At 40.2% G+C, this 14,684-nt stretch overlaps 1 protein-coding gene across 18 annotated transcripts in view; it reads right to left on the bottom strand.

Moving 5' to 3' along the window:
• Positions 1 to 14,684, bottom strand: part of SEC24B (SEC24 homolog B, COPII component) — a 107,082-nt gene that overhangs the window by 91,002 nt on the left and 1,396 nt on the right. For 4 of the 18 annotated variants that reach the window (XM_047449517.1, XM_047449518.1, XM_047449520.1 and 1 more), the window contains exon 1: positions 386 to 472. The exons of 6 other annotated variants lie outside the window; for them this stretch is intronic. Coding sequence is in view for 5 of the 12 variants with exons in the window: in NM_001300813.3 (NP_001287742.1) it covers positions 386 to 478 (93 nt within the window). In the remaining 7 variants the exon portion in view is untranslated. Of the gene's footprint in view, positions 1 to 247; positions 479 to 14,684 lie in introns of those variants that run through there. 8 more of the 18 variants (NM_001300813.3, XM_011531536.4, XM_047449514.1 and 5 more) reach the window with 4 other exon arrangements.

The raw sequence follows: 14,684 nt of genomic DNA, 5'->3' as shown, positions 1-14,684 counted from the left end.
ACTCCTAATAAACAGACCATGAAAAGGAAAAAATAACCTCACAGAGGAAGAACCTCGTAGACATCCCTCTATTATGGACTCAATGTTTATGTCCCTCCAAAACTATGCTGAGGCCCAATGTGATGGTGTTAGGAGGTGGGGCCTTTGGGAGGTAATCAGGTTTACATTAGGTCATGAAGGCAGGACCACCATGAGAGAAGGAGTGCCCTTATAAAAAGAAGAGAGAGATCTCTCTACGTGCACATACCAAGAAAAGGCCATGTGAGCACACAGTGACAAGGTGGATAGAGGGCCCTCATTAGAATATGACCATGCTGACACTCTCTCAAACTTCCAGCCTCCAGAACTGTTGTGAAAATAAATGTCTGGGCGTAGTGGCACACACCTGTACTCCCAGCAATTTGGGAGGCCGAGGCGGGCAGATTGCTTGGGTCCAGGAGTTCAAGACTAGCTTGGGCAACATGGTGAAATCCCGTCTCTACAAAAAAAAAAAAAAAAGAAAAATTAGCCAGGCATGGTGGCACGTGCCTGTAGTCCCAGCTACTTGGGAGGCTGAGGTGGGAGGATTGCTTGAGCCTGGGAGGTCAAGGCTTCAGTGAACCATGATTGAGCCACTATACTCCAACCCAGGTGACAGTGAGACACTGCCTCAAAGAAGAAAAGAAATGTCTATTGTTTAAGCCTCAGTCAATGATGTTTCAATATAGCAACCTAGCTAAGACAACCCTCTTAACCAAGTGCCCAAGGTTAACATGATCAGTAATAAAACAAGCTGGTATCACGTAAACCCTGAAATGACTCAATAAGAAGCATACTTCACCTGTGTGGTATTCTTACGAAAAATTCATACACACAATCTAATCATGAGAAAGCATCAGCAAACTCAAAGTGAGGAACTGTCTACAAAATACCCAATCAGTACTCTTCAAAAACGAGGAAGTCATTGGAAAAAAAAAAAAAAGACAAGACTAAGAAACTGTCAGACTACAGGCTAATGAGACATGACAACTAAATGCAACATGATATCCTGAATTAAATCCTGAAACAGAAAAAAAGACATTCATGTAAAAACTGGTGAAACATCAGTAAAATTTGCAGTTAATTTTATTTCACCAATGTTAATTTCCTGGTTTTGATAAATGTACCAAAGTTTCGGAAGACAGGCTGGGCACAGTGCCTCATGCCTGTAATCCCAGCACTTTGGGAGGCTGAGGTGGGCAGGTCAGGAGTTCGAGAACAGCCTGACCAACATGGCGAAACCCCATCTCTACTGAAAATACAAAAACGCAAAAATTAGCCAGGCGTGGTGGCAAGTGCCTGTAGTCTCAGCTACTTGGGAGGCTGAGGCAGGAGAATCGCTTGAACCTGGGAGGCTCAAAAAAAAAAAAGTTTCATAAGTTATTGTTAGAGGAAGCTGACTGAAGGGTACTGCACTTTCTGTATATCTTTGCAACACTTCTGTAAGTCTAAAATTATTGCAAAATAAAGTTTTTAATACATCAGTAGAAAAAGGTACTGGAAATGACCTATTAAATTGTATGACACACCAAACGTAGCCAGAGTGATTTTCCTAAAAAGCAGATCTGATATTGTTACTCCCTGGTTTGATGCCTTCTAATGGTTTACCTTGCCATAAAAAAAAAAATTCAAATTATTTAACATGACCAATAAAACATATGTCCATATCCTAATCTCTGAAACTTGTGAATATGTTAGATTACCTGGCAAAGGGGAATTAAGGTTGCACATGGTATTAAGAATGTTAATCAACTGACCTTAAAATAGATTCTTGATTACCCAGGTGAGACCAATATAATCACAAACATCCTTAAGAGCAGAAAAGCAGAGGTAGAAGAGAGTCAGAGGGAGATGTGACTACAGAAGAATTCTCAGACAGATGCAATGTTGCTGGCTTTGAACATGGAGAAAGTGGGCCATGGACCAAGGAATGTGGGCAGCATCCAGAAGCTAGCTGACAAAGGCAAGAAATTAATTCTCCCTTAGATTCTCTAGAAGGGAATGCAGCCCTGTAGATGCCTTGGTTTTAGCTCAGGTGGACTTCTAACCTATAGGTGATAAATTCATGTTGTTTGAAGCCACCAATTTGTGGTCATTTGTTACAGCAGTAAATAGAAAACAATGCAAAGACTCTCCATCATCTGACCTCTGCTTACCACTCCTGCTTTATCACTCACCACCTCTTCATACAATAATTTTCAAGAGGTATGCCTTAATATACTAGTATACTAGTAGTCTTCCACATGCCTCTGCCAACATTTGATCAATAAATAAAATTTAATTTTGCTACACTTAAGATGCTTACTGATATGGTGAAGTCAAATAGAATGCTGAGCTGGTGGGAAAAAAATACTGTTTGCCACAAAAAAGCAAAGAAGCCACAGTACAACATCAACTAAGATTGTATGCTTGAGTTTCACCTCAAGAGGCCCTAAAAGAGGTTCATCAGGGCAGAAGACAGTTTTACTTTAAGCTGTCTTTTAGAGGCTTCTGAAGGGGATCAAGTGAGTATGTGATACCTTTTTTGAAACTTTTTTTTTAATACAAGTGTTCAAAGTGTAATTCCTTTAAGAATGCCACCAAAAATTTTAGCACTAAAGTAGCCATGAGTATGAAAAGGCTGAGAATCACTGTTCTACACACATCCTTATCATGCTAAATTTTTTTCAAGCCATGCTTCTTCACCTCTCAATCTTCAGATAGGCTTTTCCCTGTATATGGAACCTTCCAAAATACCCTCTTCTGCTTCACCTGACCAATTCTTAACTTATTCTTCAGATCTCAGCTCAGCTCTTCTCTAGGAAAACATTCTCTAATCCTACAAGTGAATGCATGCCATTATATAATATTGCTTCCACAGTATTTTGGACCCTTATGACAGAACTTTTCACATGGAACTGTAATTGTCTAATTGTAAATTCTGCAAGTGAAAAAATTCAGTCTAGTTTGCTCTTAGCTCTATCCTATCCCCCAAAGCTTAGTGTAATGGCTGGCTGATGGAAACTATTACTGTATTTTTATAAAATGAAGCCTAGTAAATAATCATCAAGTATTTCTGTATCAGGCACTTATCACAATGTATCAATAAGGAATACTACATGCTACTTAAACACAAAGAACATGAAACTTTAAAAGCTTTCACTATGTAAAATAATTTATACCATAATACAAAAACAGGTCTTTTTTCTGCTTTGGCGTGTTACACTTTTTACCCTGTTCACGTATAAGAAAAGTGTTTTTAACAAAAAGAAATGAAAATCTATCGTATTTCATTATATCTAAGGTGTGTTTTGATACTGCCACTATTTATCTTCACAGGTGTATTAGGTTCCTGCTGCTACTATAACAAAGTACAACAAAGTCAGTGTTTACAACAACACAAATTTATTCTCTTAGAGTTCTGGAGGTCAGAGGTCCAAAATCAGTTTCACTGGGCTACAAAGTGTCAAGGGACAGGGCTGGTTCCCTTTGGACACTCTGAAGAGACAATCCGTTTCCTTGCCTTTTCCAGCTTCTAGTGGCCACTGGTATTCCTTGGCTTGTGGCCCCTTCCATCTCCAAAGCACATCACTCTAACTTCTGCTTCTGTCTTCACATTTCCTTCGCTGCTGGCTCTGACTTGTCCTGTGTCTCTCTAATAAGAACTGCTGTGATTGTATCAGGCCTACCAAGTTCCAGGAAAACCCCATCTCAAGATCCTTAACTTAATCACTGCTGCAAAGGTTTCAGGGATTAGGACATGGACATAGCTGGGGAACCCATTATTCAGCCTACCACATCAGGTATCAATGGCAGATTCTCACACAACTATATTATGATTTCACTTTATGGAAAGCAAGTTTAGAATTCCACTGATTCTAAAATGCACCCCAATTTCAGAGGTAAAAAATGTAAAAAAAAAAAAAAAAAGCATCTTAGAATAAATTAATTTGATTATTGCACTCCCCAAATTGCCCAATACAATGCCTTACATAAGCATCAAATAATCACTGAAAAACTAAAACAGGCTGGGTGCGGTGGCTCACACCTGTGATCCCAGCACTTTGGGAGGCTGAGGCAGGGGGATTGCTTGAGTCCAGGAGTTTGAGACCAGCCCAGGCAACATAGTAAGACTTCATCTCTACAAACATGAAATAAAAAATTACGCAGGTGTGGTGGTTTGTGCCTGTAGTCCCAGTAACTTGGGAGGCTGAGGTGCTAGGCTTGCTTCAGCCCAGGAGATTGAGGCCGCAGTGAGCCAAGATTGCACCACTGCACTCCAGCCTGGGTGACAGAGTGAGACCCTGTCTCAAAAAAATAAATAAAATAAAATAATAAAAATAACAGGCTGGGTGCCGTGGCTCACGCCTGTAATCCCAGCACTTTGGGAGGCTGAGACGGGCGGATCACGAGGTCAGATCGAGACCATCCTGGCTAACACAGTGAAACACCATCTCTACTAAAAATCCAAAAAAAAAAAAAAAAAATTAGCTGGGCGTGGTGGCGGGCGCCTGTTGTCCCAGCTGCTTGGGAGGCTGAGGCAGGAGAATGGTGTGAAGCTGGGAGGCGGAGCTTGCAGTGAGCCGAGATTGCACCACTGCACTCCAGTCTGGGCGACAGAACAAGACTCCGTCTCAAAAAAAAAAAAAAAAAAACAAAGAAAGAAAGAAAAAACTAAAAAAATGGCCAGACGTGCTTGTAATCCCAGCACTTTGGGAGGCTGAGGCAGCAGACTGCTTGAGTCCAGGAGTTCAAGACCAGCCTGGACAACAGAGTGAAACTCCATCTCTACAAAAATTACATAAAATTAGATAGGTGTAGTGGCGCACACCTGTAGTCCCAGCTACTCAAGAGGCTGAGGTGGGAGGATCACCTGACCCCAGGAGATCGAGGTTGCAGTGAGCAGTGATCGCTCCAGCTTGGGTGACAGAGTGAGACCCTGTGTCAAAACAAAAACAAACAAAACAAAAAAATTCAGTTTTTATATAATCTCTGAAAGAATTTTATATTCTTAGCTTCAAGTGAACTATGTCAAATAAAAGAGGGAAACAGATGATTCTGACACATTATCTACTCACTGGTACCAATCTGAATGAAGAAATAAAATATTTTTAACAAATGGTCTATAATATTTTCAATGGAGCTGCTCAGCTGGTCAGCCTGACTGATATATCATGTGCCAGCAAGATACAGCCTATGATTTTCTATAAGCATGTATGCCCTCCTTAGCAGGACTAAATTATCACAAGATCTACCCCCAGGACATATCTGTCTCAGTAGCATAACCTCCTTTCAGACACCAGATTCTCACCAAAGGAAAACTGATTCTCTTGCTTTAAGAAAACCTAACATGAAAATTAAAATTTATAAAACAAATATTTCATGCAAGTCTAGTCCCTGTACCAAAAAAAAAAAAAAAAAAAAATCACAGGATCTCTTTAGGGCATATGAAATACGATTTGGTTTGAAAAATTCTCTACCTGACTTCCCTTTATTCTACTTTCACTTCCCTCTAATTCATTACTAACACCACCAGAGTACTTTTTAACATTCCTTACCACACAATCTTTAATGGCTCTTCTTTGATCCAAATGAAGTCTAAACTTCTTAGGACAATTTCTAGGAACTTCCATTAGCAGCCCCAACATAATTGTAAAAACTATTCTTTTTTTTTTTTTTTTTTGAGATGGAGTTTAGCTCTTGTTGCCCAGGCGATGGCATGATCACGGTTCACTGCAACCTCCACCTCCCGGGTTCCAACAATTCTCCAGCCACAGCCTCCCAAATAGCTGGGATTACATGCACTCGCCACTACACCCAGCTAGTTTTGTATTTTTAGTAGAGATGGGTTTTTACCACGTTGGCCAGGCTGGTCTCGAACTCCTGACCTCAGGTGATCCACCCACCTCAGCCTCCCAAAGTGCTGGGATTACAGGCATGAGCCACCACACCGGGCCCAAACCATTCTTTCATTACTCTCTCTCCCTTGTACCCCTGCACTGCTCAGAGTACGTTTTTTAAATTCCTTACCTTTGATTCATGCATTTTTACCTGACAATTCAAAATGTGTCCATCATTTTAGATATAGCTGAAGTTCTAACTTCCTCCCTTAAGATTCCCTATTACTTTAACCAAAAAGAATTGTTTCCTCTTCAAAACTCTGGGCACCCTTCTCACAGGCCTTATGAAGGAAACACATGTTCAGTGCTGACAGTCCTCTCCTCTTTTACTGAGGGGTACAGAACTCCTGGAGTGCAGAGAACATTCACATTTGTATGCCCAGAGTATCTAGCACAAAATGTTATGTAAAGAGGAGCTACATAAATATTTGCTAGGAATTGTAAATTAAATTTATAGGCCAGGCATGGTGGTTCATGCCTGTAATCCCAGCACTCTGGGAGGCAGAGGTTGGAGGGTCACTTGAGCCTAGGAGTTTGAGACCATCCCAGGCAACACAGTGAGATCTCGTCTCTAAAATAAAAGTTATATATAACTGTTAGGATTACATATGCATTGCATAAAATAAGGTTCAGGTGTTTAAGATCAAAATTGATGGTAAATGAGATAATCGGAGGGACAAAGTTCTTAAAAGAGAGGGAACAGAATTCTGTACCCAAATAATCTGAATTTGTCTCAGATAACACAAGAATAATATGCAGGAAGACTGACAGATTTGGTGGCAGAAGATTAATACTTTATCTTCAGATTGTCAGATTGCTTTCAATTTCTTAGTAAAATAAGTAAGGTCACCATTGGAAAGGGAGGCAGAGAGACAGGATACTGAGAATTTGAGGGAAAAGGGGAGCATGTGACACTGGGAATGGAGCAGGGAAATACCACAGGACTAACTGGTACTGAGAGCTCACTTAAGAGATATTACCATAAATATAAAGTTGGAGAAACTTCAAGGAAAATAAAGCATCAACATTGGATTATTCTAATATTACAATACAGCCATTTTATAGGGAAAAAAACATTTGACATAAAAAGGTTACCAAACCTAGTAAAAATGTGCAAAATTGATAAATGAGTAATATAAACATACAGGAAAACACAAAAATAAAGCAAGTTACCTGAATAAGATTGTAACAGTCATGATTTCCACCATACTACAATTATTGTTTAAAAAGAAAAAAATGAAGAGAGAAAACAAAAACCACATCTCTAATTTGACTACTCCTGAGATTTCCATAATAGCATGATCATTCCCCCTCCCTGAGACACATTTTAATATTAAAAATAGTTGTTTCATTAATATTTTCCTGAATTGAATTCCAACTTTTTTTTTCAGTCAGATCAAAGTCAGATTTCAGTTTCCATTATCTGAACACAAACATCAAGGTCAGCAAAGTACAAGTTCCTTTATCCTACTAAGATAAATTCATACTAACTTTGAGGTAGAATCAGATCGAAGAATGTAATCACTGAATTCATTCATCACTCAATTACAAAGAAATAGGCCAATATTCAGTCAGTATGCACCCAGGTATTCATTTTAACAATTATCTTTGTTAAAATGTTAAAATAGCTCTGAATCAGTTGGTAATGAGTCATAGCCATGGTCCTATTCCCCTGCTTTACCCCACCATGCTAGCCCAAACCTTCTCATAATCCGCAGCTGAAGGAGTAATGCCTGGCACAGCTGAAAGCTTATAGGATCCTGCTCTGGTATGAAGGATGGTATCCATTTAGTGGTCAGTATACACAGTACTGATTACTGAATATTTTAATATACTCTCCCTGCCAATAAGGTATCACTAACAATGCCAAAATACAGATTTTTAATGGGCATAAAAAATGTGCATGCTTGCACACCCACACACCCCTAAGGCAATAGGCAATTACAAACCTTGGTGATTTCAAAAATGAGGAGTCTCAGATTACATCTGGATATCCTAGGTTATCATAATGCAAGGATAACAGTTATAGAGCTTCTTCCCAAGCTCTGAGAGAAATGTTTTCTTGTATTCTTTCTCTCCTACATTCCATAAACTGCAAATATACCTGAGGATGAAGGTAACTGTTCCAGTCACCGCTGGCGGACAGAGCCTACAGACACAGGCTATGTAAACAACTGGATTAAATCTCACTGCATTAAGTATAGATTATTCCTGCTACAACATCAATTATCCTTCTTGGATACCACGACAATGAGTGCTATGAGTGAGGGGCCAAAAGACAACCAAGGCCACACATGGTGGCTCACGCTGTAATCCCAGCACTCTGGGAGGCCAAGGTAGGAGAATCACTTGAGCCTGGGCAACATGGTGAAACCCCATCTCTACAAAAAATACAAAAATTAGCTGGGCATAGTGGCATGCCCCTGTAGTCCTAGCTACTCAGGAGGCTGAAGTGGGAGAATCACCTTAACCCGGGGAGGTCAAGACTGCAGTGAGCTGTGATCATATCACTGCACTCCAGCCTGGGTGACAAAGTGAGGCCCTGTCTCAAAATACAGAAAGAAAAGAAAATCAATATTGGTTCAGAATCTACTACATGCCAGATACCTTGCTTTTCTACATATAATCTGATATGCTTCTCAAACAATTCTGTGAAGTATCACTATCATCTTTTATATACAAATAAACAGGGCCATGAAAGCCCACTAATTCATACGAATTCAAATCGTTGGTAAGGAGCAAAGAAGCCAGGCATTGCTGGTTCCAAAGCCAGGCTTATACCTCATTTCACAATATCCATTAATCAGAAATCCTAAGGAAAACAAGTTAAGACTTGGCCACTGGCTAGGCAAGACATGATTTTACCACTCCCTCTCGCTACTTCATCCTGCTTTTCCTCAGTTCCTGTTACAAATGACTTCTGGCACACAATTTTAGAAAACTTAAAACCCATTAAACTTACCTTTCCATAAGCAAACTAGCTAAAATAGATGGCCTATTACCAGAAACCTTCCAAGAATGCATTTGCGGACATAAGGGATGGAGGACTGGAAAGCAGAAGAAAATAAAGAGAAGACTAAAATAGTGATTGAGCCTTAAATACAAAAAAGGGGAGAGGGAGCTGGCACACAGACTCCTGTCAGTGGCCAGTCTTCAAAAGCAATAACGAATAGGAAACCAAGTTCACTTAACTGAGTGCCTATTACAAGCTGCTACTACTGGGCATATGATGAAGAAAACTCATATGGTTTCTGCCACCTGAAGAATTTATAAAACGGTGTTCTGAAGAAAATGGAAGGGAGGGACTCTAATTGCTAAGCTCCTTCTAGGGCTAAGTACTTTAAAAATAGTACCTTATTAAATGTAGTTCTATAAACAACTCTGTAAGAAAGGTATTATTATACTCTGAAGCATGTTAAGTAAGTTTCTCCACAAAAATTTGGGCTATATCAAAGCCTACAACCTTTTCACTAGTCCACTCCTTCTGGACAATTCTGAGTATGCTCAGCCTATTGAAAATAGTAGCTTCTCCAGGGCTGAATATATATAACATGATCTTTTCTAACAATGCTGACAATGAAGATGCCTCATTTCTAGGAAAGAAAATTATTCTAATACCTTTAGCATAAAATACTTCAGGAATTACAGATGAATTGGAAAGATAAAGTAACATGAAATACTAGTGGTGGCAATGAATATGGTTTACAAAATTAATTACTGCTACAATCCCAGAAACTTGGGGGGAGAGGAAGGGAGTGAAAAGACACTGCAAACAACTAAAGCAATATATATAGCAATAAAAAATAAAAATTAAACCCAGATATAAGACCCTTGTTTACATATGGAGTGAATACTTTAAGATCTTTTTTTTTTTTTTGCGACGAAGTCTCGCTCTTGTCCCCCAGGCTGGAGTGCAATGGCACAATCTTGGCTCACCACGACCTCCACCTCCCAGGTTCAAGTGATTCTCCTGCCTCAGCCTCCCGAGTAGCTGGGATTACAGGCACCTGCCACCACGCCTGGCTAATTTTTGTATTTTTAGTAGAGACGGGTTTCATCCTGTCGTCCAGGCTGGTCTCAAACTCCTGACCTCAAGTGATCCGCCCGCCTCAGCCTCCCAAAGTGCTTGGATTACAGGCGTAAGCCACCATGCTCGGCCTACTTTAAGATCTTTGAGATATCTATCAATCAGCTTAGAGCCAGGCTCAGTGGCTCACGCCTGTAATCCCAGCACTTTGGGAGGCTAAGGCGGGTGGATCATCTGAGGTCAGCAGTTCAAGACCAGCCTGATCAATATAGTGAAACCCTGTCTCTACTAAAAATACAAAATTAGCCAGGCATGGTGGCGCATGCCTGTAATCCCAGCTACTCGGGAGGCTGAGCAGGAGAATCGCTTGAACCCGGGAGGCGGAGGTTGCAGTGAGCTGAGATTGTGCCATTGTATTCCAGCCTGGTCAACAAGACTGAAACTCAGTCTCAAAAAAAAAAAAAAAAAAAAAAAAAAAAAAAAAAAAAAAAAAAAATCAGCTTAGGAGGAAATTATGTATTCAGACACAGTCACTTTAATACCACAGGGGTATATTCATGAGAGGACCTGATGCTTCCGGTTAGCTATAAATGGAGACTAGAAACCTGAGACACTGATGTGGCTCTGATCAAAAGGAACTTATTTGAGATACACTAGGGAGATTTATATCATTTTAAATGCTGCATGTGCCCTCAAAGTTTAAGGGTTTCCAGTGACTGACCCGATAGTACTGCTGTATGAATGGTATGTTTATTTACATCTTCCATAGTGAGTTCTAGTAATTCCCATTACTATCTCATCTTTCTTGCATTATTAACAATTAAAGTGATAAAACTGTAGTTTCATTCTGGAAAAGGGCATATGGAAGGATTAAAATATACTTTCATTTGAAAATGAACACCATTTGCTTCCTAAAAGTAAAATTAAAAAGCAGCAGCTTATTATTAAATCTGACTGCCCCATCCCCTCACCTCCCAACAAGTTCATTACCAGGCTATTACTTTAGTCAGTCTTCCTACGTTTGAGGACTCAGCTTTGGAAGGAATCCCAAAAGGCAGAGTAAAAGGTAAGAAATATTCAATTAATGCTTGGTATGGAAATACAAATAGTTTTAAAAATCCATATATTGCTCAATGAAAAATGAAGGATAGAAATACAACACCAAGGAAGGAAGCTTAAGAGAAAGATTTCACAGACTTGAAATCAAGTCAAGCTGTATCTTCGAATAAGTGGAGGAAACATGCTAGCAGTTACACCTAGAAAACAAGTAAAAGTGATCATGAAGACTAGGTTTTCTGCCTCTCTATTCCTTTCTTCTCAAACATCAAAGTTTCTAAAAAGAATTTTCTTAGAGTCTGTTAACAGAAAGAGATCTTTAGGCTGGGCATGGTGGCTCATGCCTGTAATCCCAGCACTTTGGGAAGTCTAGATGGGAGGATCACTTGAAGCCAGGAGTTTGAGATCAGTCTCTACAAATTTTTTTTTAAAAGTTAGCTGGGTATGGTGTCACACACCTATAGTCCCAGCTACTCAGGAAGCCATGGTGGGAAGACTGCTTGAGCCCAGGAGTTCAAGGCTGCAGTGAGCTATGATGGCAACACTGTACTCCAGCTTGGGTGACAGAGTGAGATTCTGTCTCTAAAATAAATAAATAAATAAACAAACAGACAAAAAGTTTTAAGAAGAGATCTAGAGTTGGAATTAGCAAAAATAAAATGGACTTCATTTAATACATGTCTAATGAATACCTGTAACTTGCCTATACTGTTCTAGGCTCTTATTATACAACGTGAACAAGAGACAGAAAAAACTGCCACCCTCACAAAGCTTTCACAGAATTGGTAGAAAATGTACCTACTTAACCTTTCTGAATCTTCATTTCATCTGTAAAGGTAGGGATCCAAACTATGTGTTTTTCAAACTGTGCTTAAAAACAACTGAACTTCTACTTCTATTTTAACCGCAACCACTTTGCTTTTTTCTGATTTCTCTATCAGGGATCTATATACAATATCCTTTGGAAAAACAAATCTTAAAAAACGTTTGTGGGCCAGGCACGGTGGCTCACGTCTGTAATCCGAGCACTCTGGGAGGCCGAGGCAGGTGGATCACAAGGTCAGGAGATGGAGACCATCCTGGCCAACATGGTGAAACTCCATCTCTACTAAAAATACAAAAATTACCCAGGAGTGGTGGTGTGCGCCTGTAGGCCCAGCTACTCAGCAGGCTGAGGCAGGAGAATCGCTTGAACCCAGGAGGTGGAGGTTGCAGTGAGCTGAGATCGTGCCACTGCACTCCAGCCTGGGCGACACAGCGAGACTCCGTCTCAAACAAACAAAAAAAGTTTGCCATTTGCTAACCACTTGTAAAAGAAAAAACAGGGCCCAGCCCAGTGGCTCACACCTATAATCGCAAGACTTTGGTAGGTCTAGCCAGGACGATCACTTGAGGCCAGGAGTTAGAGAACAGCCTGGGCAACATGGTGAGACTCAGTCTCTACAAAAATAAAAATAAAAATAATTAGCCAGGAGTGGTAGTGCATGCCTATAGTCCTAGCTACTTGGGAAGCTGAGGCAGGAGGATCACTTGAGCCCAGGAGGTTGAGGCTGCAGTTAGCTATGATGGAGTCACTGACTCCAGCCTGGGTGGCAGAGTGACACCCTGTCTCTAAAACAAACAATAAAAAACAAAAAACTTCTTTCACTCTACTCTCATTCTGCACAGACCACTTCTGTGACCAGATGTGTGAATTTTTGTTTTTATTTTTCCCCAACAGACACCAACTGGGGGTCCTCCAACTCAATTCAATTCTGACACTACCTACCTGAAGTTAGACTCGGATCCCACAGATTAAGGGTTCAGTCCCACAAGATGGCTCCCCACTTCAGATGCCTATCATAAGTATCACAAGTAGCAGGTTGCCATCTGTACTTCTGAGGAACCAGTTACAAACTGGAGTTTCTACTACCCCCTCCTTAGGTTCAATTACTTTGGTAGAAGGGCTTGTGGAAGTCAGGAAAACATTTAAATTTATTGTTTATTATAAAGGATATTACAAAGGATACAGATGAACAGCCAAATGAAAGAGATGTACAGGGCAAAGGATGGGGGCAGGTGCCGCCACCCTCCCAGCATCTCCACATGTTCAGCAACCCAGAAGGTCACCAAATCTTACTGTTCCAGAGTTTTTATAAAGCTTCATCTCCAGCCTATCCACTCCCCTTCAAAGGGGATGATGGGTGGGGACTCAAAGTCCCAACTCTCTAATTACTTGGTCTTTCTGGTTACCAGCTCCAGCCTGAGGCTGTCTAGGAGACCCATCCTAAGTCATCTCATTAGCACAAACTCAAATGTGATCAAAAGACTCCTTATGAGTAGCAAGCGACACTCCTATCACTCAGGAAATTACAAGGGTTTTAGGAGCTGTTACAGGAACCCAGGACAAAGGCCAAACGTATTTCATATCACACCACAACACTGAAGTGAGTGATTTCTAGGTACCATTCCAGTTTTACAATTCTGTCTGTTTTATGCTCATATTTCTGACCTATTTCTTTTTCACCATGTCTGGAATTCCATAGAGATATATTAAAAGGCTAACTACTTTTGTAGGACTGAAAAATAAATGAGAAACCCAAATGACTGCTTACTACATGCTGATACCACGTAGCAAACTTTTTTTTTTTGAGATTAGCAAACAAAACAAAAAGAGATTTAATCTTGTTTCTCTACTTAAACTAATCCCTTCCACAAAAACAAAAATCCTTCTGGAGGATAAGGTGTGAGGATCACCTGAGCCCAGCAGACCAGCCTGGGCAACACAGGGAGACCTCGTACTCTACCTGACCCTAGTTCTTACACTTTACCATAACTTTCAAATTTCCTAGCATAACATTTAAGGCCTTTCTGCAACCTGACCCCTTTTAACCTGCTCCTTTCGGCTTCGATGCCTTGGCTTCCCATGCCACCCAGCACCCTCTGCACCTCTTGACTCCTTCCACTTTCCAAGCATGCCCTGCACTTTCATATTTCCAAACTTTAGTTCATGCTGTAACCTCTGCCTAGAGTCAACCTTTCCCTCCCACCCCAACCTGTCGAGTCCCTCAAGGCTAGCCAGAACCAATTCAAACATTACCAAATACAGGGCAAGTCAGGAGAGAGGCAGGGACTCTGTCTCATCTGCTACCCTAACCTTGAGTCCCCAACTGGTAAGCATGCAATAAATGTTGAAATGATTATTGCAACATTAAAGGAAAGTAGTGATTATAAACAAGAGAACTCAAGCATCATCTATATTTGGCATCAAAACATTGATTTGTTCTTACAGATTTTAACATCCTGATTACACTTGGCTGAGTACATATCCTGGCATTCTTGAGTGTTCACAAAATTTATAAGGCTGTAATAAACATTTGCCACTTTAAAAACTGTTCACTAAGATGATAATGCATATTCAGAAAATCAAGGAAAGACACAATCCTTGAATCACTGGTAAACATGAGTCTACAATGTTCTAAAAGACTTGGGCTCTTTTACTAAATTATCGTGTTCTAGTTCCTTCATAAAGCTATTTTAAAAACAAACAAAAACAAGAACTTATATTAAGGTTACAAGAACAAACACTGCTCACAAATAGTATTTTTACATTTGTTCAGAACAGGTTTATATCCAAAAGCGATTATAGTAAACAATGACTACTGAGAGTACAGCATGTAATACTGATAGGTAAGGCTGATCCAAAGAATATTAAGGCTAAAGTA

Source organism: Homo sapiens, chromosome 4 (genome assembly GCF_000001405.40).
Source record: "Homo sapiens chromosome 4, GRCh38.p14 Primary Assembly".
NCBI lineage: Eukaryota > Metazoa > Chordata > Mammalia > Primates > Hominidae > Homo > Homo sapiens.
This window is presented reverse-complemented; position numbering and strand designations above follow the sequence as displayed.